Source organism: Homo sapiens, chromosome 1 (genome assembly GCF_000001405.40).
Source record: "Homo sapiens chromosome 1, GRCh38.p14 Primary Assembly".
In the NCBI taxonomy this organism is placed as follows: Eukaryota; Metazoa; Chordata; class Mammalia; order Primates; family Hominidae; genus Homo; species Homo sapiens.
Genome location: NC_000001.11, coordinates 3,404,625 through 3,431,672, shown reverse-complemented (window position 1 = coordinate 3,431,672; position 27,048 = coordinate 3,404,625). Strand labels below are relative to the sequence as shown.

Here is a 27,048-nt window from a genome sequence, read left to right as displayed (position 1 = left end):
CTAAGACCCCAGGCAGCTCAGAGAGGCCCGGGGCTCCCTCTCCCAGGACTCAGGGGCAGCATCCAGGCTGGAGAGGAAGTGCCACCTCCGAAGGGCCTCCCCAAGGGCATCTGGGAATGCTGGCAGTGTCGCCCAGGCCCGATATTGGTGGCGAACACTGAGGACATGGGGAAGTGGCCCTGGCCGGCACAGAATGGTGGGTGCTTGGCCCCCGTGTGCCCACGGCCCTCTAGTGGCTGCACGCGCTGTCCCAGGCTGACAGGCAGCTCTGCTGCAGGGCCGGGGGCCTCCATGTCTGCTCAGTGCAGGGAAATGCCTTCCCCTCCACACTCTGCTTCCAGCCTCCAGGGCCCCTGGGGGTGGGTGGGGGGGTTAAGGGCCCCTGACCCCGTTGCCCCTGGCCCAGCCTTGCCCTGGCCTGTGTGTGGAGGCCCTGAGGTGGCTGTGCTGGAGTAGGGGCTGAGCCAGGGATGGGCTCACGAGTGGCTGAAGAGGGAGGTCCCCCTCGTGATGGACGCCCACGTTCCCTCCCTGCCCCATCCTGGAGCACACGGCTGCCCCCACCTTCGGGTGTGGTCAAAGCCCACGGCCAGGGAGGCGGCTGGCTCCTCATCCTCCTCATCCTCGTAGGCGGCCTGGGGCTCGGGTGCGGGGGACACGGTGTCATCCTGCGACTTCCCGGCCAGGCTGTCCTCATCGTCCTCCTCCAGGTCATCGTCGTCCTCCTCCTCCACGTCCTCCTGCTTCTCACTGGCTAGGCCTGGACACTGGGCACTGCCGTCCACGATCTGCATGTCCGCCCTGAAATGATGCAGGAGGAGATTGACTGAGTTTGGGTGTCTCTGTCCTTCCCATGGACCCCCAAAGGCTGGTGACTCCGCTCTGCCCCCACTGCCTCCCCCGACAACACTCAGCCCCCTTCCTGAGGGAGCTCCCGCGGGTCCCTGGGCCCAGCCACTGACTCTGCAGAGTGAGAGGCACGGAGGCCTGGGGGCGATCCCGGGAGAGGAGGGCAAGCGCTCGGGGCGGTGGGGGCAGGGCAAGGCCCAGCAGCAAGCTGCTATGGCCGGGAGGACACCAGGGCCGGGGCGGTGTTGGGGTGGAAGCAGTGGGCAGTCCTGTGGGGAAGCTGGACCTGCACTGGCACGGGGGTTGGGCAGTGCACGAGGGGCACCCTCAGGGCAGACTTCAGGGGGAAGGAATTCAGGCTGACAACTCGAGGACGTGGGCACTGGCCCGAGAGCCGGGAGCCCTGGAGGGCTCTCTGGGATCTGGAGAGTGAGGGCCCAAAGCCTGCTGTGAGCAGTCTGAATGCACCAGGACAAGCTTGCTTCGGAGCCTGTGGGGGGACTCTTCTGCAGCCCAGGGCTCTCCTGACTTCCCTCAGGGTCACTGCAGCCCGGCAGGACCCCTCCACTCCGGTTCCTCAGTATTAAATAAAAAAGAACAAAGCGTGCATGGGTGTGGCTGGGCATTCTCATTTCTTTCAGGAAGAGCCACTAGAGTTTGGCTCATCTTCATGTTCACGACCAAGAGCTGTGTCTTGGGTGGGCTGGGCCCCAGGGGAGCTGAGGGCCCCCGGGCACATGCTGGACATACTGGTAGAGGGGCCCAAGCAAAGGGCAGGGCACGCAGTTTCTGGACTGCCCATGCCCAGAGCCCCAGGGCCACTCTTCCTTGTCCTCACTCCGCCCGGGGGCACTGCCTCCCGCTGCCCTGGGAGGTATCCACGGTGTGGGTGAGATGCAGGGGTCCTGCTCTTGGCATCCAAGCAAGAAAGTGACAGCGTCTCACGGCGACCGACCTCCGTGTCTCGGACTCGCCTGTGTGCACGGGAACTGGGCTTGGGGAGGCCACAATTTCCTGGCTCTCCACAGATGGGCCACGTGTCTATCTCTTGTCTTTCTGCCTTCCAGGACGGACAGAACCTCACCAGGTTTCAGGGCTTGAGGAGAGTTCCTCGGTCCTGGTCGCCTGTGTTGGGGGCCAAGAGCGTCCTGTACACACACCCATCTCCTCAGCCACGGAGCTGCTGGGATCCGGGTCCTGGTTCTCACCCTGGTTGTTGGTGAGGTGCCCTCGGGTGGGGTTCTGTCTTTGGGGCCTGTGCCCTCTCGATGACACGAGGACATACCCCTCCCTGTCCACTCTGAGGACGGGATGAGATGGCGCAGGGTGAGAGCCCAGGCTCATCACATGGGCATGTGCTGTGAGATCTCATCTGGTGGCCCCACGTGGGTTTGCATGGGCTTCCCACCAGCTGGGGGCAGGGACTTTGCCCTCTTTATGTCTGCTGCACACCCCCCATGCACAGAGTATTTGCTTTTTAGTGTTGGGGAGCGGAGCATCCGGCACGGACACAGAATAGGGCCCAGTGGCTGGTTTGGCTCCAACAGGGAGGACAGTCAGTTTCCCAGAGCTGCCCAAACCAAGCCCCACAGAATGGGGGCCTGAAGCAACAGCCGTGGACGCTTTCACAGCTCTGAGGCCAGAAGTCCAAGATCCAGGCGAGGGCAGGCCGGGTTCCTTCCAAGACTCTGGGGGAGAATCTGTCCCTGGTCTCTCTCCAGCTCCCGCTGCTGCCGGCCCTCTTTGGCCATCCTTGGCAAACCTTGGCACTCTTCGGCCCTCCTATGTGACCCTTGGCCCTCCTTGGCCATCCTTGGTGACCTTTGTCCCTCTTAGGTGACCCTTGGCTGGGAGGCGCATCACCCTGACCTCTGTCTCCATTTTCCCTTGGCCTTCTCCCCTGCGTGATTTTCTCCAAGTGCCCCCTTTTTAAGAGGCCGTCAGTGCCGCTGGATTGGGGCCCACTCTACCCAGTGTGGCCTCTGCTTAATCCCTCCTTAAAGACCTTATCTCCTAAGAGAGTCCCATTCTGAGGTACCGGGGGCTGGGACTTCCACCTGGGAATGCTGAGGGACATGATTCAACTCAGGGGTTCACGGGGCTGCAGGACCAGGACTCCTGACAGAACTGGATCCTTCCTGATGGCGGAGGGCAGGAGCTGGTTCTGCAGGAGGCCCAGGGAACGTTCCCGCCACCCCAGGGACTGGCTGCCTATGTCCACCTTGCCCTGTTCTCATTTTCGTCAGTGACGCAGGGGCTCTCAGGACCAGGCCAGCTGGACCCGGGGACCTTGCCTCAGCAGGACGGGTCTTCCGAGGGCCTGAGTCTGAGTCCGTCTGAGGCCGGCTGTGCCCGTATGTTCTGAGGTGTGGAGAGCCTCCCTCGTCCCCACCCCTAGGGCTGTGAGAAGCAGGGCACTGTGGGCCTTGCCATAGGCGAGGGGGAGGCCCGGCCACATCTCTTTCTCTTAGAGACAGCCTTCTGTCCTGGTGGGTCTCCTGCAGTGCGGCCGGGCTGCACCCTAGCTCGGGGTCCTGGTGGGTCTCCTGCAGCGCGGCCGGGCTGCACCCTAGCTCGGGGTCCTGGTGGGTCTCCTGCAGTGCGGCCGGGCTGCACCCTAGCTCGGGGTCCTGGTGGGTCTCCTGCAGTGCGGCCGGGCTGCACCCTAGCTCGGGGTAGGGGGGCCTTGCTGTCCTCCAGGTGGTTCAGCCTCCGCACACGCTCCTGGTCCTGGGCCCACCCCGGCAAGGATGCCATTGATGAATCCTCACTTGTTCCTCGCCTGGCCTTACTCTGGGAGCTGCAGCTTAGGGGATTGTGCCTGGGGACGGGGCTGTGGGGCGTAGGTAAGGCCTGGCCTGTGGCGCTCATGGGTCTGACACGCAGCTGCAGGGAACACGAACAGCTCCCATGCGGCTGTCTCAGCGTGGCCAGGGCAGAGTTCCTTTCAGGCCATCGTTCCTGGAGCCCACTGGGGAATGCCGGGACAGCCTGGGGGCTGCAGAGTAGGTGGGGTTGCACTGGGGTGGAGGTGAGGCTTTTGGGACCACGGCCCAGAGCCAGCTTCTCCCCCCGCCCCTTCCTCTGAGCCCGCTCTGGGCTCTGATGGATGAAGATGCTGAGGGCCCTACAGGTGAGCTCACCTTCCTAGGAGGGGCACAGATTTGGAACGTGGCTTTGCCAGAGCCAGTGTCCAACTGCCTCCTGTGTTTATTGCTTGGATGCCTCTTTCCCAGGTACCCCCACTCTCCTAGAAGCAATGACAGGAAGACGCAGCCCTGCCCTGGAGGAGGGGATGGGCTCTGAGGGAGCTGGGGTCTCAGGGGGCTTCTTCTTCACCTACTGGAGGTGGTGGGGAGTGAGCTGGGCCCTGTGGGTACAGAGCCTTAGACCGCCCATGGCCAGTGCGGTAAAAGCTTGGGATCTGGCTCTAGGTTCTGGGCCTGAGCAAGACACCCCACTTCTGTGGGCCCCGTTTTCCCTTCTGTAGAATCAGGGGATCACCCCCTCAGGCCTCTTGGAGTTTGGAACACCTTCGGTTCTCTGCCAGCTGGCTGGTGTTAGCTTTCACAAAGGAAGCAGCCCCGCTGGGGTGTCTGAAGGCTCCCCCAGAGTAAGTGAGGCCTACGGAGCCCTGGTATCCCAGGTTGCACAGAGCATGCGCCGACATTCCTGGATCCGAATTCCACCATCGTTCTGCTGCTGTGTGTCTAGACGCACGTGCGCCCATGCGTGTACATGTGTCTCTAGGTGTACGCACACGGCTGTCCGTCACGCATGTGTATGTGCACACACTGTCCATGTGCATGTACTTGCATGTGTGCATATGCGTGTGTGTAGATCTAGGCAGGCATGTTTATGCACGCACATGTTATGTACACGTGTGTGCATGAGTGCACGTGCATGCCCGTATTTGGGGACCTGCACGCAAAGGGCAGAGCACACAGTTCCTGGACTGCCCATGCCCAGACCACAGCCCTGTCCCCAGGCACGTCCTGCCCTGTCCCCAGGCACGATCCCCTAAACTGCAGCTCCCAGAGCAAGGCCAGGTGAGGAACAAGTGAGGATTCATCAATGGCATATGTATACACATGTATACAAACGTGCATCTCTGTGTGCATATGTGCATGTGAATGTGTACATGTACACGGGGCATACCTATGTGTGCATGTGTGTGCGTGCATGTGTACACATGTGTATGTGTGTACATGTGTGTATAAAGGTGCAGCATTTTGGTTTGGAAATCTTTAGTGCCTCAGATTAAATCAAAATGTCCTTGAGTGTCAGCGGCACAGCTGAACTTGTGCCCGGCTCGGTCACCTGGCTAGTGTTTTGCACACACATATGTTAACAGTGAGGTCATAAGCCCAGGGGTGCTTACTCTCATGACTCTCCAGGTGGAGGAACTGAGGCAGACAGCGCAGCTTCCCCAGGTTCCCAGAGCCCAGGGGCCTCACCCTCTGTGGTGAGGCCCCCACTGCGCCTATCTGGATGTGTTAGGGGCTGGTGCTGGGGTGGAGGTGCATGTCCTCTGAGGGTGGCCACGCAGGGCTGTTGGCCGGGTCCAGACTTTCCCCAGCCCGCGATAGTTTTCTTACCGTTTCTCTGTTCGCGTTGATGCTTGGTTCATCTCACTATTGGCAATAAAGTTTCTGATTTCCGAGAAATAAGAGTCTTCTTTCTCGTCTAAAAGTGCGTGGTTGTCCGACTCTGAGGTGGGAGAGGACGCGCTGGTCCCCAGGTGGTTCGTGAGGACCCCGGGGTGCTGGCTCACTGCGGAGGGGCGGGAGCATCAGGGGGCGGCCTCTCGCTGGACCCCTCCCTCCGTGGGGCAAACCAACCGCGAACGGGGTACACCTGGGGTGCTGTTAGGGAGGCAGGTTTCTTAGGGACACCGGAGAGCACGAGGTTCTCTTTAATGACCACGGTTTGAGGGGTGCCTGTTGGCTTCCTGAGGGGTAGTCTGTGGCCCTCTTCCCTGCCCGGCGCCCACTCCCCTGCTGTTCCCCCTCCCCCTCTGTGGGGCCTGCCCGTGTGGGTGCTCTGGGGGCTGCCCCACCCCGCGTGGCCCACCTGGTGCGTTCTCGTGCTCGTGCTTCTTGAGGTGCCGGTCCAGGTTGGTCTGCTGCCCGAAGCAGCGGTTGCACAGGTGGCACTTGAAAGGCTTCTCCTTGTTGTGGATGTTCCGGACGTGCCGCTGGAGGTTCGAAGAGATGCTGAAGGAGCGGTCGCAGTACTTACACCTGGAAGGGGCACACGCGCTCCTCAGTGCAGGCCCCGGCTCTGCATGGCAGGCCGGGCCACAGAGGGTGGGGGGAAGGGAGCCCGCGCCCCTGCCCCGTGCCCCGTGCACAGCTTTGCCCCGCCGTGTCCCGGAGGTTGCTGGATCTCCCAGCTGCAGAGCCAAAGGCATCCTGGGGAAGCTGTCCCTAGAAACAGCCCCGGCTTCAAGAAGCAGGGGTTCACGCCTATAATCACAGCACTTTGGGAGGCCAAGGCGGGTGGATCACGAGGTCAGGAGATCGAGACCATCCTGGCTGACATGGTGAAACCCCGTCTCTACTAAAAATACAAAAAAATCAGCCAGTCGTGGTGGTGGGCGCCTGTAGTCCCAGCTACTCTGGAGGCTGAGGCAGGAGAATGGCGTGAACCCGGGAGGCGGAGCTTGCAGTGAGCCAAGATCACGCCACCGCACTCCAGCCTGGGCGACAGAGCGAGACTCCATCTCAAAAAAAAAAAAAAAAAAAAGCAAGCAGGCGTTCACCCTCCTACTGTTCTGTGGCTGGCTGGTGGATCCCCCTGGAGTGTGCCCCGTGTCCCCTGGGCAGGCGGTGCGCCCGACCCTCCGGCGTCTCCTGCCCTCTGTTGTCTGGGTCTCCCTGGCCCCCAGGCCGCGGGGCCGGCAGGTCTGCAGCCGGAGGGCGACATGCTCCTTGCAGCCTCCAGAGGGCGGCCTTGCTCCATGGAAAGACACTCGGCAAGGCCAGTTTCCCAGCCGGAGGGGCTCCACAGACCAGCTCCCAGACCAGCTCCCTGTGACCTTCCTCCTCCACCCCTCGAGGTGGCTGGGGGCCCCTGGGCAGGCCCCACCTCACTTGGAGCCTCAGTTTGCCAGTCCATTCATGGAGGGCTTGGGGGCTGCCCTGGATGTTGCCACTTGTTGGCTGCCTCCTCTATTAAGGACACAAAGACCACACTGGCCCCTTTGGGCACTGCCAGCTCCCGGGCTCGGTTTATCTTTATTCCCCCAGGGTGGGCAGGGCTGCTGCCGGCCTGCACCGTGCACGTGGGGAAGTTGGGATGAGACCCCCTTCCTCCATCTGGCCTCCACGGCATCAGGCAGAGCAGGACTCTAACACCCTGAGTTTATCAGAGCAAGGCCCCTTGCGGCTGGAAAGTCGTCATAATGAGCGATCGAGGAGGGCTGCGTGTGGAGGGTTCCCCTCAGTGTGGGGCCCTTGGGCTGGGAGTGACCTTCACAGCCACACGTGGTGACCCTGCAGGCAGGGAAAGGGAGGGTTGTTCTCTCCCATTTTTAGAGAGCGGGGCTGAGAACTAGGGGGCCTGAGCGACATGTGCATTGAGCAGCAAGAAAATCATGCCTGAAACGAAGAGGGGGAGCTGGGGATGAGCTAAGGAGGAACCCCATGAGCTCTGTAGATGCACGTGCGCTGCCTCTGTGAAGACAGCCTCCTCCCTGGGGGGCATCCGGCGGGGGGCTGGGACTGGCTTACTGAGAGGCACCCGGCTGGGCTGGGCGACGGTGAAGGGAACCCTGACTGCATGGTTTTCAGTTGCACGTGGGTGCTTGGCATGTGCGTGTGTGCCATGCCTGTGTGTGCACACTTGTGTGTGCTCTTGGTCATCAGAACGCCCGCAGCGGTGCTCATCTGATCCCACAGGCACACACGCACTTGAACATTCTGTTTATATGATCATGCGTTTTCATATTTTGAAAACAAAGCAAGCTCCATGATGCCCATGGCACAGCACACAGAAAGTCTACCCACTGCAGCAGGATCCTGGCCGGGGGGGCCTGGTAGCAGCTGGAGACCAGGCCAGGGCCTCTGTGGGAGCCTCTGTGGAGGCACCAGGATGGGGCAGGGTTTGTTCACCCGGAGTGGGTGTGGCTGTTCTAAGCACAGTGGCCTTCGTTCCCACAGAGGACAGGACTCCGAGAGGCCCCACCCCGCCCCGACCGGTGCCGGTGGCCCGCTCCAGAGCAGCATACTGGTCACATGCCCTTGTCACATGGATGGGGACGTGCCTGGTGACACTCGGGAGTCCTGGCCTCCCAGACCGGGAGGGGCTGTGTGGCTCGGCCTTCTCGGCACGGTGCTGCCCTGTACAGGAGGGGCCTGGGCTGGTGTTTGCTATCACAAAAGCCTGGCGAGGGAGTCTGACCTGCCATCAACACACCCGCAGGGGCCTCCCCAAGGCAGGAAGCTTCAGTCCCACACCTTCCGGGTGCTGCTGCCGGGCCCAGGAGCTCAGCATTCCCCACGTGCAGGGGCTGCGGCCGTGAGAAACTGTCCTTGGAATCTCAGAGCCTGCGAGTCTCCCCCAACTCCCCAGGCTGCCTGGTAAAACCTAGCAAGTCTGAAAATGGGTCCCCTAGAGAACGGGAGGCAGTCCTGGGAGAAGGGCACTCCTCTCCCACGCCTGGCCGAGGCATATCCCCATCCCACTTCGTCCCAGCAAACTTCCCTGGTGCTGCCCTAAGGCTTCATCCACTCAATTCCTGAACCTTCCAACCTTTGCCGGAGGCCAGGCTCACTCTGGCCTCTTCAACAGTAGACAGGAAAAGAAGCATTGGTGATCGAAGTCCCTGAGCTCCCCGAAGTGACCCTCAGCCTTCTCTGCTCCTGATCCCAGGGGCCTGGCCTGTGGGCTTCTTCTCTGGGAGCCCCTGCTCCTGCCCGGGTCAGCTGAGCTGCCTCCGGGCACCCGGGTCCCAGCGTCTCCTCCCACAGCCCAGTGACAGGCAGCGCCCTGGCTTGGACTGGCCATCCACAAAGCCTGCCCTGGGCGGCGCTGCAGTTTTGTTTGACTCGGCCTGTGAACTCACACAAGAATAAGGCCGAGGATGGAGCCCTTTCGGCAGCAGGGTTGGAGATGCTTGGGTGCCCCCCTACCCGACGTGTCCCACACAATCTCCCAGAAAGGAGGGATTTTACACCCTCCAATGCATTTTCTCACATCCCCCACCCTGACACATCCTTAGACTGGAATGGTGGTGCCTGGCCCTGGGACCGCCATGCTTTTGAGGCTGACTGACTGCTGAGAAAGGACACACTGGACTCTGCGTCTCCAGCCCGGATGCAAAGCACCTGCCAGTCTGAGCATTCAGGCTCTGCCCAGCCAGAGGCTTCCCACCCAGCTGGGGCCATGTGCCCCTCTGGCATGTTGAGGCAGCCCAATCTGTCTGCCTGCCTGACTGTCTGTCTGCCTGCCAGTCTGCCTGCTTGCCAGTCTGTCTATCTGCCTTCCTGCCTGTCCATCTGCTTGTCTGTCTGCCTGTCTGTCTGCCTGCCTGTCTGTCCATCTGTCTGTCCACCTGCCTGTCTGTCTGCCTTCTTGCCTGTCTGCCCTGCCTGTCTGTCTGCCTGTCTGTCCATCTGTCTGTCTGCCTACCTATCTATCTATCTGCCTTCCTGCCTGTCTGCCCTGCCTGTCTGTCTGCCTGTCTGCCTGCCTGTCTGTCCATCTGTCTGTCCACCTGCCTATCTTCCTTCCTGCTTGTCTGCCCTGCCTGTCTGTCTGCCTGTCTGTCCATCCATCTGTCCATCTACCTGTCTGTCTGCCTTCCTGCCTGTTTGCCTGTCTGTCTGTCTGCCTGTCTGTCCGCCTGCCTGTCTGTCTTCCTGTCTGTCCGCCTGCCTGTCTGTCTGCCTGCCTGTCTGTCTTCCTGTCTGTTTGCCTGCCTATCTTCCTGTCTGTCCGCCTGCCTGTGTGTCTGCCTGTCTGTCTGCATGTGTGCTCAAACACGGCTCATTCAGTTCCTGGTTTCTTTGGAAATGCAGAGACTTTTGCAGAAAGTCCACCTAATGGCTCTTGCATAAACCCTAGCAATTGTGGATCCGAGGTAAGAAATGGGATTGGAAAAGAAGCTTGTTCATAAAACTGGAGAGCAAGTCCCTTGTGTGAAGCTCTGGGGCCGGGGAGAGCCACGAACAGGGCTGTGCGTTCAATTTGGTTGCAGAGAGCCCTGAACGTGGCCCTCTCTTGCTTCTAATCTAAATAAATGGCCCAGACAGAGAAGTCCATTTGAAATTTAGGGGAGCCGTGAGCCCAGGGCTGCGAGGGAGCAGAGTTCTCCGAGCAGCTGGGGTCTGCGTTGTAAATAAGCTGACAAGCGGCCAGTGAAATTGATGGTCTCACTGCGTAAAATAACACGCCCGTGAGCTCCAAAAGGAAGGAGAACGTGCAGGGTAGCCTGGCCCTGGTGCAATGCGGAGGGCCTTGAGAGGACCTTGCTGTGACCGTGCCTGCTGCACTCCCAGAGAAGCCATTGGCAGGGGAACAACAGAGTATGGGCAGGTCAGGGGGGGTGGCCAGGGCCCCCGAGCCCCTGAGCACTGGGCAGCGGCATCCTTCCTAGGATCCAGTGAGGTCTCCTGCAGCCACTACAGGGGGATCTGCTTTTGGTGACTGTAAAAGTGAGGGAAGAGGAAGAAAGAAGAGATTTTGAAACCCAGCCGTAAAAATACAACTAAAAAAGAAAGGACATGCACGGGCCGCGTGCAGCCCCCGATGGAAGCACAACTGTGCCTCCCTTGCACGCTCCAGCTTCACACAGAAGGCAGGATGGAGCCTGGGGAGATGATGGAAGCACACGGCAGACTAGGGAGTCAGCAGCCCTGAGGCAGGAATCTCGGTCCCAGCAGGAGTCCCGGGCAGCCCTGCTCGCATCCAGGCTGTGACTCCAGGCTCCACTGGGCAGCCTCCCAGAGAGACCCCCGGGCCGGCTGTCAGGACGAAGACCAAGGAGCAGCCCCTCTCCCCACTCCCAGTTCAATTTTCATGCTTCTCCAACCCAAATCCCGCAAAGCCTATATGCTTAACTTTTTTTTTAAGAAATAAGACTGCCATTAACTCAATCTCACCTTCCCGCTTCACTCAAAGACCTCTAGGCCAGGAGAAGCTAGGGGCCAAGTTACCTCCAAGAAACATATTTGGTGCACCAAAGGCTCTACGTTCCCTACCTCAGGGCTTTGAAACACATTCTGAACGATTTCAGGTCATCTGAGGCAAGGACTTAAACGGAAGAGGCTTCCAATGTCATCTGGTTTGATTACCCTATCACTCCAGGCAACCCATGAGAAGCCTGCTTCCTCCTGCTTGCGCGGGGCTGCGTCAGCCCGACCTCTCCAGGGCACACACATATGCACATGCGGCGGGCACACACGTGGGTGCTGGCACCGGAAAGGGGCTCACACTGGGGCGGGCATGGGGGGTTGAGCTCCTCTTGGCAGGCTTCTGGGGATGGCCGGCACTTTCCCTCCTCCAATTTAAAATCCTTCTGATTATCAAAGCCAGTCCAGAAACCACCAGTGGTATCAAAAGGAAAGCTACACGCTCCAAACCCCTCGGCACAGACCTGCCTTGAGCCAGATAAAGTCAGGATTTGCAACACAAACTTGCAAAGCAATTATTGTTACCAAAGTCGAAACTCACAGATTGGAGAGAGCAAAAGAAATCAATGATAATTAAATTCTTCTATAAACACCACCCCGACCCTCTAGGGGCTCTTAGCACACAACGCTGTCCAGAAGTCGGCTCTCATTACAGAAAAAACACACAGCTCATTTTCTGGGAGGGGACCAGACCAAATAAATCTTTCTGCTGCTAGCCTTTGTTAAGTTGTAAGTCACTATTTTTTGAAGGGTGGGTAAGGGGGGGCCTGTGAATTGGGGAGGGCTGTGAGCGCTGAACAGATGACCCGTAAGTGGTATAAGCTGTCATTTACCCTGCGAGTTGGGACACAGCCCTGGGGCAGCCGGGGATGCTTGCTCTGTCTCAGAGTGGGGGTCAGTGACCACGACATGCACAGGTGCCTCAGCTGGTCTCCTTCCCCAGGGATGGAGACACAGACTGAGTCCCCAGTGCCTGCACTATCATGTGGCCCCTCTAGCTCTGTGTGGCCAGAGGACAGAAATCTTATGCTGTCAACTTAAGCCGTGTGAAGCACTCTTTATCCCCAATGGCCTCTGTGAACAGACACACCCTGCATGTGTCACTAAACCAGCCTTGGCAGAAAACCAGCGTTTCCCCATTCGCCTCCCAGTTACCATTGTCTGGGGCTCTCGCTTAAAATGCCCACTCCCAGGCACTGACCCCGGTGATTCATGGGGCATCTCTGAGCCTCGGGCCCCTCATCTTTGAAATGGGATGACAAGCCTGTTGGGAGGCTGTTGTGAGCCCCAAATTCAATGCCTCCCCCATCCCGATGAGCTGTGTGACTGCTTCACTGCAGGTGCCAGCCGGCTCCTCAGATGAGAGGAGCACGGGGGGATCCTGGAAGCAGACGCACCGCTTCCCATCCAGGCTGTCCCCGGGACCCCGTGGAATCCCTCAGTGGGCTCCAAGTGGGGGGTGGGGACCCGCATTTGCACGGAGTCTCACTCTGCCTTTGGCCCACTCCCTGGCCCACCAGAAGTGGGGGTGTGGGGGCAGCTATGGCCGTCGTGAGATGAACGGAGTTGGGCTGGGTGTGGGGAAGCTGAGGTTTTCTCCCATGTGGACCCTCTGGGCCCTGGCTCTGGTCAGCCCTGCTCTGATGAGGATCCCCTGCCCCAGTGAACACCCTAGGGTGGGTGGAGAGCTGCTCCCTCACATCTTTGAGAGCCAGGCAGATGCCTTCCAGAAGGTTCCTGGGCACCTCCTGCCTCATCCTCAAACATCCTGCTGAGGCCAGGAGGGGAGGGCCAGAGTGACCAGAATTCAGCACCCGGCCCTGCCCACTGCCTGCTCACTCCAGCAGGGAGCCCTGGGAATGGCATACTTACTCCTAGGAGTGGGTCAGCGGTGCACGGAGGCAGGCGGCCCCGCCCCCACACCCAGCCCACGCAGCACCTACCTGTACGGCTGCTCCCCAGTGTGCGTCCTCAGGTGTCTGGTGAGATTGGCTGATCTGGGGAAGATCTTCCCACAGTACCTGGGGTGGAGGGAGGTGGGGAGGGTGAGGGAGGATTAGGGTGGGCTTACATGGCCATTTCCCAGAAATGGTTTCAAGCTAATGCTCGGGGTCTCACACCTGATGCACAGGTGGACCCATCCCAGCATCCCAGTTTCAGTCCCTTCCACGGCCCTGAAGCCCAGCCTCAGTTGCAGAGCAGGCTGCCATGGGCCACAGTAGTAGACAGAGCAGCCCCTGCCCCCTGAAGCGTCTCGGCCCCTCAGTCTGGCGGTGAACAGGGCAGGCTCCAACAGACTTGGACAGGCCTGCACCAGCAGAGGGTGGCCGGGAGGGTGTCATCCTGACACTGCAGAAATTGGCTGAGGCTGTAGCACTGGGCTTCCCATCCCTCCAAGCGCTGAGGTTAGTCACTGACCAGCACACCTCAGGCCCAGCCTTCCCAGTTCAGGCTGGGCTGAGGTTGCATATTCTTGAGCTCCCAAGAGCACAGCATGGCGTGAGGCAGGGGAGGCCACCCAAGTCACTTATTTGCAAAGCATGACCTCAAGCAGATAACCAGCTGATTGCAGTGCTGTGCTTTCCTATGGCCGGGACTCTGAGTTTTTCCTGGAAGCACAGGTTCACAGCCACAGGTGTGGCACTCGAGCCCCGCCAGGGCTGTCCCAGCAGCACCAAAGGGCCCCTCACCTGCACGTGTATCGCTCCTTGCCCTTCCTGAGGATGGGGTCGGAGAGCGTTGGGGGTGGGGACCGGAAGTTGAAGGGGTGGTGGGGGAGGGGCTGCAGGGAGCTGCCCGAGTCCGCCTTCATGGCTGCAAAGCTCTCCAGCTTCTCTGTCATGGTCTCTATGGCTGACATCTGTAGGCATAAGAGTGGGAGGTTATGGACTCAGCTGACTCTCACCTGTCTTCAGGGGCACGCACTGCTGGGGGTTCTGTACAACAGCATATCTTAGGGTGCTCAGGTGGGCACTGGAAGCAATGGTCTCCTAGTATTTTCTTGGACCCTGGGTTGGATTTTTTCACCTTTCTGTAGTCAGCCCTGCTCTTGTCCTTCCCTGAGTCCCAGTCCCTCGTTTGTAGTTTAAGGTCTTTCCTGCAGGAGCTGAAACTGATCTTTAGCAACCAGCCTCACTGCCCGGTTTGGGCGGGACCTGAGTGATACAGGTAGCTGATGTTTATGATTACCCCTTATCTGACCCAGGCCGGCAAAATGCCCAGCTGACTTGACTCCTGGCCAGCACTTCTGGTTGGCTAGTTTGGGTTAAATGCAGAATTACATCTAGTTTAACATTAAAAAGTTTATTTTTTAGTCTTGAAAAATTACAATAGCAACCTGAATCTCCGTTTAAAGCATAGATTGTGGGCCTGCAGAACCACTGCCACCAAGTGGCAGCATGCCATAATTGCAGGCAAAGTACTAAGGAATTCAACAGCCTCTTTAAGACTTAAACCCACAAAGGAAATATTCAAAATAATAATGTGACATGTCACATGACACAGGGCAATTTGATATGGGCAACAGGAGCTGCCTCTCTGCTCCCTGGAGATGCCCAGGGCTTGCTCGATTAGGAGAGTGGAAGCATGGGATTGGTGGGCAGAGCTCTGATCAGAATCCCAGACTGTCCTGGCCCCACTGAGGTCTCTGACAATAGCGACAGGAGAGGGGAAGGGCTGGGCTGATGGAGCTGCTCAGTGTCAGCCCTGCCTCTCCCAGCTCCCCTTCTCTTTGAAGATTTGGAGCTGACCTCAGTGGAGAAGGAGATGGGCCACCCTGTGATATCTGCTGTGTGCCAGGCCCTGTAGGGGGCTGCACAGGGGCTGAAAAGGAAGAGTGTTCATCATCCCCTGAGGGGTAGCAAAAGGCAAAACAGGGAACAAACCCCGGGCCTCGGCACCACACACCCAGCCTGCTGAAGGTGGGGCCAGTGCTCCCAGGGCCCAATGCCTGACCCACAGGGCCCTCCAGACACCTTTGCTAAACAGGTATTTTCATAGCCTGCCTCCCCTGGGAGCTCCCAGAGAAGGGGATGAGGAGGGAGGGCAAGGGTGAGGCAGGAGCTGATACAGATGCAGAGGGAAGGGAGAGCTTGGGGTTCCCCAGGTGCTGGTGTCACTGGGAGGAACTGGCCAGGGTGCCGGTCCTTGGCACCCAGCCTCCACGGAATGGGTGTGGGGGTGAGGAGAAGGGCAGGTGAGGACCTGCGTCATCAAGGGGCTTCATATAGGGCTCGCTGCCTCTGGGCAATGCTCAGAGCCAGCTCCACAGAGGTGACCCGCCCATTTACAGCAAGACCCTAGCCCTGGCTGCCCACTAGCAAACAAAACTATCCCATCACGCGGCTGGGGTCTCTCAGAGTCCGAGTGCCGGGCATCTGGCACTCAGCTTTTCGGAGACCTGCTTGCCAGGGACTTATCCAGCTGCTGCTGGTAGGGAGCAGAGGGCTTTCTACAAATGCTTCCCAGAGACCACATGAGCCAGTGGTGGGGACGTTTTGCTATTTGGGGAACTGGTTACGATAAAAATACCCAGAAAGAAACGAACGAGTAGAAACTCGTGTCCGTCCACAGTGGCCAAGGCCTCCCCTCTGGCCCCTTCCAGCCCCACCCAGGCTGTGGGGGTCAGGCTTCTCCCGCCCCTGCGAGGCAGGCATGCTCTCATCCTGATGAGAACGAGTGATGAGCGATGGGCAGATGGAAGCTGCCTTGCTCCCTGAGCCATCAACTGGGCCTCACCAGCCCCTCCGCAGCCCGGAGCAGCAGGGCTGAGGTCTTTCCACAGGCATGGCCTCTTGGGCTTTGTCGAGGTCTTTAGTAACTGGCGCCTTCTGCCCAAGTGACAGCCCAACCTTAGACCATTTGGTGACTTATTAGTCATCTCTCTCTTCCCGCCCCCCACCTCCTGGCTCCGGGCTGCAGGGACAGGCAGCGGGGGTGGCAGGCCCGTGGGGGCAGCGGGCAGGAGGGACAATGGAAACTGCCCCCCGCTGGGCTCCCTTCCTCGGGCCTGGGTGGGCCTCTCCCGCCCGGCTTGCTCCGCCCGATCAGATATTCCCGGCCTCGCTCCCCGCACAAACAAACGCAGGATGCGCCTGGCTGGCTCGTGGCTCTTTCCAGCCCATCCCGAGGAAAATCAGGGGAAGTTATTAACCAAACTCCACGGCCCCGGGGAAACAATGGGAGGCGCTAAGTTTAGCTGTGAACTCAGCCTGGGCGCAGGTTTCACAAACCAGGTGGGGGGCCCGTCCACGGCGGGGAAGGCCGAGAAAGAGAACAATGCCCCGGTCTGGTCTGCAGTCTGTCAGGGCCAGGCCCACTGTGCGACCCTCAGGACCCTCCAGGTGCAGCCCATGGCGCTGCGGAAGGGGCCAGGCTCCCAGCAATGAGACCAAGTCAGTAGGGGACAGGAGGTCGGGAAGACTCTGCCCTGGCCATGCTGCCCACCTGCTATTTTGCTCCCAGGATGTGGCCTCAGGGGCAGGCAGGAGCACCTCCAGGCCTGGCAGGGTCTGCACCCACCTGTCTGGACTGGGGGGCTCTCTGGGTCTCTTTCCAGACCCCCTGCCCACCACCTCCCTGGGGCCTGGCTCCATGCCCCTCTCTGCATGCTCAGGCCCTTCCTCTCTTCCGGTCCATTTGAACATACTCAGGTCCTGTGCACCCCAGAGAGAGCGCCCACGCTGTGTCCTGGGCTGCCACCTGAGGCTGCTCCCCTCACTCACAATCCCTGCCCTCGCTCCTTCAGGCTCTGCCCACGACTCCAGTGAAGCTCCTTCTCCCTCCTGGAGCCCAGAGCCAGGGGTCAGAGAGGTCCCTGGGGTGGCCCTGTGAGGGTCACTCTCAGTCCTCAACCTCTCCAGCCTACAGTGACCTGAGGGGCCTCAGGGAGAGAATCCTCCTCTGCCTTTGAGGGCGTCTGTGCGTGGTATGGCCTGGACGGGGACTTAGGCTCCAGCCTGGCCACTGAGCCTCGACAGCCGGGAGATGGGGCCACTGGCGTGTGGGTTACAGGGCGCCCTGACCTGCACTGAGGACGTACCTGGGGGTGGAAGAGCAGCGGGGACGGCCGCAGGTACTTCTCCTTCAGGGCTCCCACGGGGTCTGTGACCTTCCGCTTTTCTACCCTGCTGGACAACAGCACAGAGGGTTACGTACCCCACCGAGCCGCCCGCCCCGCCGAGCCACCCGCTCCACAGAGCCGCCCACCCCGCCTGACCATATACCTGGCCAGTCACAAGGCCATGGTGTGGACCTCGCCGTGGCTGCCCCAACGCTCACCAGACTCCTCTGTGGGCCTTGGGGATGTCGGGAGCCCAGCCCACCTGCACCCCTAGACGGACCCTCCCTGTCACCACCTGCCCCTGAACACTCTCCCTCAGTGGTTCCCTCACACCTCCCATGCCTCCAAGGTCCCCTCGAGGGCCTTCAAAGACCCCTGGCTGCCAGCACCCCTGCAGGTCATGGGTGCTAAGTGCAGGCGGCTGGAGTTTTCTCTGAAGGCCCCGTGCACCCCGGCCTAACTGGCCGGTCAGCCCTGCATGAGTGGGGACCACTCTGAAGGGGGTCCCTGGACCTGCTCACAGCAGAGCGTGGCTCACACCAGAGGCTCAAGGCCTCCTCCGCTCCTTCTCTGACCCGGCCCCTGGCACGGGGTGTGCTGCCCGTGTGTGCTGATGAACGTGAGTGGCCAGCAGGTTTCTGTCCTGGGGAGGTCACCAGGGGCTTCCTGCAGCACCCAGACAGGGCCCTGTCTAAACACCCTCCAGGGCTGCTGGAGATTACAGTTCCAGAACCTTCCCCAGATGCCGGTGACAAGCCTGCTCACTGAATCACAATGCAAACCTCCTGTGGTAAACAGAGGCCGTGGGCAGGGCTATCCACTGACCCTCCTTTGGCCTGGTGGCTCTTGAAGGCAGCCTGCTCTTCTCTGTCTGCCTGGGTTCCCATAGTGAGGGTTAGATTTGGGAGCCTCTTTCCCATCACTGAGAGCGCTTTGGTAAACCTGCCACCCCGTTGCAAGACACAGCACCCCCAGCATGTCTATGACTGGCCGCTTTTGCTTTATTAGGACAGGACTTGCTCAGGGTCTCCTGCCTGTCTCCTTGCATGGCGAAGCGGGGAGCACAGGGACAGGTGCTGGTGGGGGTAGGACCCCCTCCCCAAGCCTAGCCCTGCTCTTCCAACCCACCTGCATTCTAGGGAGGGGCAAACCTGTCCAGAAATTAGGGAGTGGCATTAAACTCGCCTTTCCCCAAGAGAGGCATCAGAGACACAGGACACTGGTGCCTAGAAAACCCTCCAATGCTTGCTTCATCCCTCGCCTCCTCCTCCCCTCCAAGGACCACTGGCTCCTTCTCTGATTCCCCCGGGGCCCCCAGAAAGACACCCCCTCCCCATTCCCCCTGCCGCTGTGGCTCCAGGGGCAGGAGCGCACCAGGAGGGGCAGGAAGCACTCAGCCCAGGCCCCTCTGACTTCTGCAGGTAGAGGCTGGGGAGAGCTAGACCAGAGACGACAGCTGGAGAGAGGGGTGGGGAAGGGTGTGGGTTGGGGTGGGGGGTGGGGTTACTGGGGATAGGAGGCGCTCGAGGCCAGCAGTGTGATGTCTGAGTGGTCATCGGTGCAAGCAAACTGCACGTGTCCAGGAGCACCCGTCCTGGCCTCCCAAACACGGCCCGGGCCAGGCACCTAGCTTAGGAGCAGCCAAGCCAGGCATCCCTCCTGAGGGGTGCAGACCCCCCCAAGAACAGGGGCATCTTCCTGAAGTCAGCAAAGGCCGGGGGACGACCTTGGAGGAGCTTGAAAGAGACACCACCATGCACTGAGCCCGCCCAGCACCGCCGCGGCCCCGCCCCAGGGAGAGCCAGTGAGGCTGGGGTGCTGAATACCTGTAGATGGGGTCCATGAAGAAGGGCGAGGGCTTGGCGTAGTGGAGCGGGGGCTGCTGGGGCATCCGCGCCGGGCACACCTGGGGCAGCCCCTCGCCGGCGCCCAGCTTGCGTTCCCCATAGACGTGGTTCTTGCGGGGCTCCCGCCCGCCGCCGTTTTGGCTGGCACGGGCCCGGCTGCCGATGCTCAGGTCCAGCGGCTGCTCCTCGCCGGATGCGGGGGCCGAGGGGCCCTTGGGCATGGGCAGGATGGGCTTCACGTCTTTGGGCTTGGTGGTGAGATCAAAGGGGCACTCGGCACTGGGGCCGCCCACCTTGAGGGCGTCCCGGGGTGACTTTGGCTCGGCCTTGACCAGCAAGTTGTGGGCGAGGGCTCGGTCCGTGAAGGGGTAAAGGGAGTGGGGGAAGTTGGGCAGGAACTGGAAGGGGAACGCCGAGTGGTAGGGGAGCGAGCCCAGCTTCTTCTCCTGCATCCCCATGAAGCCGGGGCCAAAGTACTTCTCGGCAATGGATGCGATGGCCTTGATGGAGTCCCCGGCGGCGCCCGTTGCAGTCAGCAGCTGCTCGTCGGGTGGCGGGAAGAATGAGTGCTGGGAATAGAAGACAGGCACCTCGGCCACGCTGTTCGGGGCCCCCGGGGGCGCCAAGCCGCCCCCAAACTTGGGCTGGCCCTCGGCGGACTTGCCCTTGCCCTTGTCCTTGTCAGGGTCGCTGTCCACGTCGCTGTCCAGGTCCGAGCCCGTCCCCGTGGTCGTGTCCAGGTCGGTCCCCGTGGTGGTGTTGACGTCCTCAAAGTCACTGCCGTCCGACATGTCGCTGCTCCTGGTCTTCAGCTTCTCCACACAGGAGTCCTCCAGGCGGCTCTCGAACTTCTCCTCGGGCCCCGCAGCTGCCGTCGTGCCCTGGCTGCTGTTGCTGACGGCGGAGACCAGGGGCAGGGCTGGGTTCCCCAGGGGACTGGGGAGCTTGGCGTCCTGGGTGTGGTTCAGGGGGCTCTTGAGCAGCGATGTGGGAGGTAGCAGAGGCGGCCGGGGGTACAAGGATGGAGGGAAGATGCCCGGGAAGCCGGGGGTGAGTGCGGGGAACGTGGGAGGCGCCGTGGAGAAGGGCAGGCTCCCCGGGTGCGGCCTGGAGGGAAAGTACTCGTTGAAGCCCAGGCTGGCGTGATTGAGGCTGGGGGAGGGTTTTGCCTTGTCCATCATGGGGCTGGGGGTCAAGGGCAGGCCCGGGGCAAAGATGCCGCCCGGCGTGTAATGGTTCTTGCCCTCGCAGAAGCGCCGGTGCTTGTTGAGGGAGGAGGTAGTGCTGAACATCTGGCCACAGTCCTTGCACTTGATCTGCGTGCGGCAGTCGGCGTGCATCCGCTTGTGCCGGCACAGGTTGGAGAACTGCGTGTAGGACTTGTGGCAGACCTCACCTAAAACATCAGCAGAAGCCAAGACAAACCCGCATGAAATGACCGGGAAACCCTGCTGAAAACGCCACATGAAATTACTGGGAAAGCCAGCCGCTGGAGGGGCGAGGCTGGGGCTGGAAGCAGTCTGTCTGGGTGCATGTGCGTGGGCATGGGTGTATATGTGTGTACTGTGCATACATGCGTGTGTGCGTACACACAAATACACAGGCAGGTGCATGTGTGTCTGTGTGCGTAAGTGTCCGTGTCTGGGCAGGCGTGTGTGTATTCTGCAAGCGTGCGTGTCTGAGTGTGCACACGTGTGCACACATGAGCATGTGGAAACATATGTGTGTGTGCATGCGCCCCACCCAAGACTGGCCTCCAGTGACCAGCACAGATCGGGGGGCCGGTTGGTACAGTTCCTGCTGTGCCGCCACCTTCTTTGCTGGAGAATGGGCTTGCCACTGCTGTTTCCACCCTCCTACCCCACGGTGTTGCTAGTTTAGGAGCCAAGATTTTCAGAAGTCCCTGGGGAAGGTGAACCTGCTCTCCAGGGCGGGGCACGGGGAAAGCGAATGCATGTGATGGTGTCTGCCACTCCATCAGTGGATTCAGGGCAAGCTGGCTCAGGGCCCGCCCTGCCTTCGTCTTCACTTTTGCAGCTGTTCTAGCAGGGGTGGGGGCAGGACGCTGACCACGCAGACTGTGCCTCCTGCTCTCTAGAAGTTCACAGTGTTCCTAGTGTCCTCCCACCTCCCCTCTCCGCACCAGATCCTGCTGCCTGCACCCCGGAGAAGGCAGCCTCTGGGTTGACACAGACAGTTCCTGAGGTTCTCAGGAGGCCCCAACTCGGGGATCCCGGACTTTGGGGCTCCTGGCAGTACTCAACTACCCTTTGGAGATGGCTGGAGGTGGACATGGATAGGAGGTCACCCCGGGCAGGAGCCCTATGCAGAGGGACTATTCCCTGCTTGAGAAAAGTGAAAATCCTACTACTGGGAACCTCCTCAGACTGGGATGGAAGCGGCAGTGCCCGGCTCTGGCTGGCGAGTGCCAGCATCTTCTCTCAACAGGAGAGGGCAGTGCCGGCCCAGCTAGACTCCAGGACCCAGCGGCCTGGGGGTTCCGGCCATTTTCCTAAAGGCCTGTGAACGGTTGTCAGCGAATCACCAGCTTGTCTTTTGCCTCTTGTTTTTCTAAGAAAAAAGGGAGGAACACACACACATCTACACATGCACACACACAGCACACACAACCACACACCACATTCATACACATGCACACACACCACACACACGCACACACACAACCACACACATTCATACACATGCACATACACAACCACACACCACATTCGTACACACACAATCACACACATGCACACACAGCACACACACATGCACACCCCCCACACCCCCCCATGCAAACACACAACCACACCCCCCACACGCACACACACCCACACCACACACATGCACATACACACACACCACACCCACAACCACACCACACACATGCACACAACCACACACATGCACACAAACACCACACACACACCCACACCACACACCCACACACAACCACACACATGCACACATACACCACACACACCCACACCACACACCCACACACAACCACACACACTCACACCCACACCACACACACACCCACACTACACACACCACACAAACCACACACATGCACATACACCACACACACGCACACACACACCACAGACACGCACACCACACACACACATCCCGGCGAGTGTCTCTCTCTGTAGGACAATTTGCTTCCTAAACACGGCGTGGTGGAAACAATGATTTCAGCAAGCTTCTTGCTCACCAGAAATCGTCGGCTGCCTGATCTCCTTCGACTCCAGCTGGGAGCTTTTCCCCTAAGATGATCGTGTTCTTTCATCACGATATCTATTTATATTAACCGCTCTACCTTCCTGCTCGTCCAGCCTGGCGGGGCGTTTTCAAGGCTGAGGGGAGAAGAACTTTGTCTCGTTTCATCAAATCTGCCCTCTCTGGAGGGCTGCTGATGGACAGGTGACCCTCCAGAGGGAGGGTCTGTAAATACCCCTCGGTCACCTACCTGGCCCTCGGGGAGGCACTCAGCCCTGCCGGCCAAACAAGCACACCCTGGCTGTGCCCCACTCACACACTCTCACACCCACACGCACCAACTCACGCGCCCACACTCTCACACACACACGCACCAACTCACGTGCCCACACTCACTCACACACACCCACACTCACACACTCACATGCATCAACTCACACGCCCACACTCGCACTCACAGACACGCGCCCACACTCACGCTGTCACGTGCGCCGACACACGCACCGGCCCACACGCCCACACTCACACACACTGACATGCCCCGGCTCACACGCCAACCCTCACATGCTCTCACACGTGCCAACACATGCACTGGCTCACACGCCCCTCACTCTCATGCGTGCCAACACAAGCACTGGCTCACACGCCCACCCTCATGCGCTCTCACACACACACGCACCAGCTCACGTGCCCACCCTCGTGCTCTCACATCCTCCAACACACGCACCAGCTCACGCGCCCACACGCGCTCACACACACGCACCGGCTCACGCGCCCACACTCATGCACTCTCACGTGTGCCAACACATGCACCGGCTCACGCGCCCACACTCACACACTCTCATGCACGCCAACACATGCACCGGCTCACGTGCTCACACTCACACACTCTCACACATGCCAACACAGGCACCAGCTCACGCACCCACACTCATGCACTCACACACACACCAGCTCACACACCCACACTCACACGCTCTCACACGCACCGACACATGCACCAGCTCATGTGTCCACACACACGCTCTCACACACACACGCACCGGTGCACGCGCCCACACTCACACACTCTCACACGTGCATACTTATTAAAGCAAAGGCTCTTTCTGCAAAGTGCCCAGTGGGAGCCTGTGCACCTCATTCCCAGATATTATACTTCCTCTCTGTCCTGTTCTCCTCTCCTCTCGCTCTACCCACCCCTTCTCTTACACCCATGCACACACACGTTTGTACACAGCCCAGGGCACAGGTGAGCGCCTTGGTGGGAAAGACACCACCAGGAATGACACCCCCTCCGTCTGTGTGGCCAGTGAGGTGGGGGCTTAGGGCTTCCATCTGCCTGTGCCATGGGTGTGTCACCCAGCAGGTGGACACGGAGTCTGGCCATGAGCGCCTGCGCAGCTGTGACCTCTCCTGCAAGCAACTGACCATTCCTGGAAAGGGCCACGCCATTTGGACTCCCTCACTTGTTTGCAAATTCTCCTCTCCAAGCCTGAAGACCCCCTTCTGCAGTTGCACCAAAGGACACTGTGCAGTGGCCTGGGGGATACCAGGGCTGCGTTGCTTGTGTCTGATCTAATTTCTAAGGGAATGAGAATCTTCATAAACCCGATCTGCCCACATCTGGGGTTTTCCTTTAAGCTTTATCCCCTTAGCAAAAAGCCAAGGCACAAAGGTGAGCCGAGTGTGTGGACAAGAAGCGCAAGAGTCGCCGAGGCGGGGCAGGGCCAGTTGAGTTTCCCTGTCCTCACTCCATCCACGAGGGATGGGGAGCAGCCTGCAGTGTGGTGGGAACAGTGGGCTCCAGCTGCCCAGGGTGCTGCAGCTCTTGGAATGCACATCATTAAAGCGATGCAACGGGACTTTAGAACGCTCGTCTGCAGGCCCAGAGAGGCAAGGAAGTTTAAACCTAGGTCCAATTTTCTTGCTCCTGAGCTTGCTATAGAACTCCACGTTGTCATCTGAGGCACCAACTGGTGCCGCTCTCACTGGAGTCACTTGACCTGCAGCTGGGAGCAGTCACCCCCCGCCCCAGCCCCTGACTCCTGCCCAGCTCGCACCGTGCTGGCTTCTCCCAGAGGAAAGGGGTACTGTGTATCGGGGTGCCGGAGCCGGGCACACTGCACACATGCTCCTCCTGGGAGATCGGTGGTCAGCAAATGGGAAAACAGTACTTGTGGAACGGCCGGCAGGCAGAGCTCCATCTCCCTTTGGTTCCTCAGTTGGTGGGGGCATGTGGCCCAGGTTAGGCTGGGGGCGGAGTCACCCCTAGCAGGACGGCTGGACGCTGGGGCTTGGGAGGTGGGTGGGACGGGCACAGCCCAGGTGCTGACAGGGGCCCGGCTGGCTGGCGGACATCACCTCTTGTGCAAGTGGTCAGTGCCTGAGTGGTCCCACATCAGCAAGAACACCTGAGTCCAGGTTCCCAAGCTCCCAGCACCCCGCCTCTCCAGGCTGATGCAACGGAGCCTGGAAGGTTCAAATCACCCAGCCGGGGGCCAGGAGCCAGGCCCCTGAAGCTAAAATTTGGGCTCCACAGCCTGGCCTTGAGCCCACGGTCACTCAACATCTTGTAGCCTCCCTTTCCTCCTATGACAACTGGAGACAGAAGGGCCCCACTCTCAGGCTTTCGTAAGGATGCTGTGTAAGAATGCTTGGGAAGCGATGACTCGGCACAAGGCCCAGCAGACAGGACCCTTCAGGGGCCTCTGACTTCACTGAGAATCAGGGTCATAGTCCCTGCACTGGCCCACAAGGCCCCTTGGACCCGGCCCTGGTGACCTCTTACCTTTCTCTTATTTATTTTTATTTCTTTACAGAGTCTTGCTCTGTTGCCCAGGCTGGAGTGCAGTGGTGTGATCTTGGCTTACTGCAGCCTCGAATTCCTGGGCTCAGGACATCCTCTTGCCCTTAGCCCCCTGAGCAGCTGGGACCACAGGCACACACTACCGTGGTTGGCTAATTAAAAAAAAAATTTTTTTTTTTTTGGTAGAAATGGTGTCTTGCTACATTGCTCAGGCTGGTCTTGAACTCCTGGCCTCAGGTGATCTTCCTGCCTGGGCCGCCCAAAGTGTTGGGATTACAGGTGTGAGCCACCACCTGGCCCTTTCTTCTCACTCCGCTCACTCACTCCTTAAACAAACCCTGGCCTCTGGGCCTCTACGCTCACAGCTCCCTCCTGAGCCTCCTCCACAGGTGCCCAGGGCTCACTCTCCTTGTGTCTTTGCTGGAACGCCTCTCATCGAACAGGCAGTCTCAGCTCCCACACCAGGCTGCCAGCCTGGCCCCCTGTGAGGCTGTAACCCCACACCGCTGCACCCAGAGCTGTGCCTGCCACCTTGCTTGTCTGGCTTGCCTGTCTCCTCCCATTGGTGTGCGAGCCTCCTAAAGACAGCTGGTCTTTTATTCAGGGCTGGCCCCCGCACTGGAACAGCACTGGGCACAGACAGGGCCCCCTAGAGACACCGCCCTGACAATCCCAGTGGGTGTCTGCTGAGACTGTCACGTGCAGGGCAGCACAGAAGCACGCCCTTCTGGAGCTCGGCACAGGTGGGGAGTGAGTTCGGGGGACGGGAGTAGCAACAGGGAGGGAGGGTCCAGCTCCTTCTGCAGGACCCTGGTCCCTCCCATCACCCACTGCCCCCCTCCAGCCCCTGTGAGGTGAAGCAAGGGGAGCCGTGGAGGAGGACGGGATGGGGAAGGGGAGCAGTGAGGGACAAACTCAGAGGGTGCCTGCCGGGGACCAGGCTGCACGCGGCAGAGATGTCAGAACCTGCCATGAGTGCTTTATGAACAAACTGGGGCCCCTCGGATCGGGGGAGACCTTGGGGGATGGCCCACCTCGGCCCGACCGCCACGGCATCCGCGCACCCGGAGGGCAGGCGGCCAGGCTGGGCGACCACTCACATATGAAAGGCTTCACCGTGCTGTGGATATGCTTGTGCTGCTTGAGGCCGGAGGACGTGGCGAAGGTCTTCCCGCAGTCGGGGCAGGCGTGGGCCCGAGCGCCCACGTGCTGCGAGCGGATGTGCCGCTGAAGGTTGCTGGGGTCCGTGAACACCTGGGGAGACGGATGCCGTTGGCGCGTGCCCTGCCTGGACACCCGCCTTGGCCTGGTTCTGGCTGGCGGACCAACCGGCTGTGGGGGGCAGGGCCCTGCCTGTCTCTCTTGCCACGTTGCAGTCTGCACCAAGCAGGCCGGGACAGGTCTCTGTGTAGCAAGGACCCGCTGCAGGGCCTTAAGTGAGCCGCAGAGCCTCCCCGGCTGCTTTCCTCAAGAACAATTCCTGAACTGAGGCTGCGTGAGACAGGGCTGCAGAAAGCGTTTTCAGCTGTGGTGCTGAGACCCTGGCGGGCTCGGGGTGGAGGCTCGGCTCAGCCCCGCCAGCCTCTTCCTTCCACACCGGCGGGAGGACAGGAGCCGCGCTCTGGAGGGGCCTGGGTTCTGGTCTCGGCCCTGATCCTTCTGACCTGGGGGACACGGTCTTCCCTGAGACTTCCTTTCCTTCCTAGTCACACGGAAGGGCCCGAGCCACCGCAGGGGCCTCCTACCCACTCTGCCGCACTCCATCTACATTTGGACCAGGGGGTGTAGGGAGCACGGGGGCGGGCGCCCGTCTGCAGCCTCCTGCTGCCCCGGGGCTGAGACGGGGCCGCCCCGCAGGTTACCTTCACGCAGTTTTCACATTCGAAGCGTTTGCCGCTGTCGTGGGACATCTGGTGGCGGATGAGGTTGGACTTCCAGTTGAAGGCCTTGGGACACTGGTCGCATTTGTACTCGCGCTCCTCCGTGTGGATGACCATGTGCTGCTCCAGGCTGCGCAGAGGACGAGGCTCACTGCGGGGCCCGACTACCTGCCCTCTGCCCGGGAGGGGACCCCAACCATACAGCTTGTTCCCAGTGCCCCTTCGGAGCCCCCACCACGCTGCC

At 60.3% G+C, this 27,048-nt stretch overlaps 1 protein-coding gene across 2 annotated transcripts in view, besides 4 other annotated features; it reads right to left on the bottom strand.

Annotated features, from left to right (window-relative positions):
- Positions 1-27,048, bottom strand: part of PRDM16 (PR/SET domain 16) — a 369,419-nt gene that overhangs the window by 6,949 nt on the left and 335,422 nt on the right. For both annotated transcript variants that reach the window (NM_022114.4, NM_199454.3), the window contains exons 7-15: positions 26,787-26,934; positions 26,025-26,178; positions 18,873-20,289; positions 17,026-17,113; positions 13,676-13,845; positions 12,929-13,006; positions 5,923-6,092; positions 5,448-5,622; positions 565-801 (exon numbers count right to left, since the gene is read on the bottom strand). In NM_022114.4, the coding sequence (NP_071397.3) occupies positions 565-801; positions 5,448-5,622; positions 5,923-6,092; positions 12,929-13,006; positions 13,676-13,845; positions 17,026-17,113; positions 18,873-20,289; positions 26,025-26,178; positions 26,787-26,934 (2,637 nt within the window). The remainder of the gene's footprint in view (positions 1-564; positions 802-5,447; positions 5,623-5,922; positions 6,093-12,928; positions 13,007-13,675; positions 13,846-17,025; positions 17,114-18,872; positions 20,290-26,024; positions 26,179-26,786; positions 26,935-27,048) is intronic.
- Positions 10,509-11,009: an enhancer, noted in NCBI's record as "H3K4me1 hESC enhancer chr1:3337228-3337728 (GRCh37/hg19 assembly coordinates)". NCBI's record gives its function as "activates a minimal SCP1, AML or CMV promoter by ChIP-STARR-seq in naive H9 embryonic stem cells {active_cell/tissue: H9 hESC(naive)}" and the evidence as "EXISTENCE:reporter gene assay evidence [ECO:0000049][PMID:30033119]".
- Positions 15,165-15,860: an enhancer, noted in NCBI's record as "H3K27ac-H3K4me1 hESC enhancer chr1:3332377-3333072 (GRCh37/hg19 assembly coordinates)". NCBI's record gives its function as "activates a minimal SCP1, AML or CMV promoter by ChIP-STARR-seq in naive H9 embryonic stem cells {active_cell/tissue: H9 hESC(naive)}" and the evidence as "EXISTENCE:reporter gene assay evidence [ECO:0000049][PMID:30033119]".
- Positions 15,861-16,557: an enhancer, noted in NCBI's record as "H3K27ac-H3K4me1 hESC enhancer chr1:3331680-3332376 (GRCh37/hg19 assembly coordinates)". NCBI's record gives its function as "activates a minimal SCP1, AML or CMV promoter by ChIP-STARR-seq in primed H9 embryonic stem cells {active_cell/tissue: H9 hESC(primed)}" and the evidence as "EXISTENCE:reporter gene assay evidence [ECO:0000049][PMID:30033119]".
- Positions 22,635-23,212: an enhancer, noted in NCBI's record as "H3K27ac-H3K4me1 hESC enhancer chr1:3325025-3325602 (GRCh37/hg19 assembly coordinates)". NCBI's record gives its function as "activates a minimal SCP1, AML or CMV promoter by ChIP-STARR-seq in naive H9 embryonic stem cells {active_cell/tissue: H9 hESC(naive)}" and the evidence as "EXISTENCE:reporter gene assay evidence [ECO:0000049][PMID:30033119]".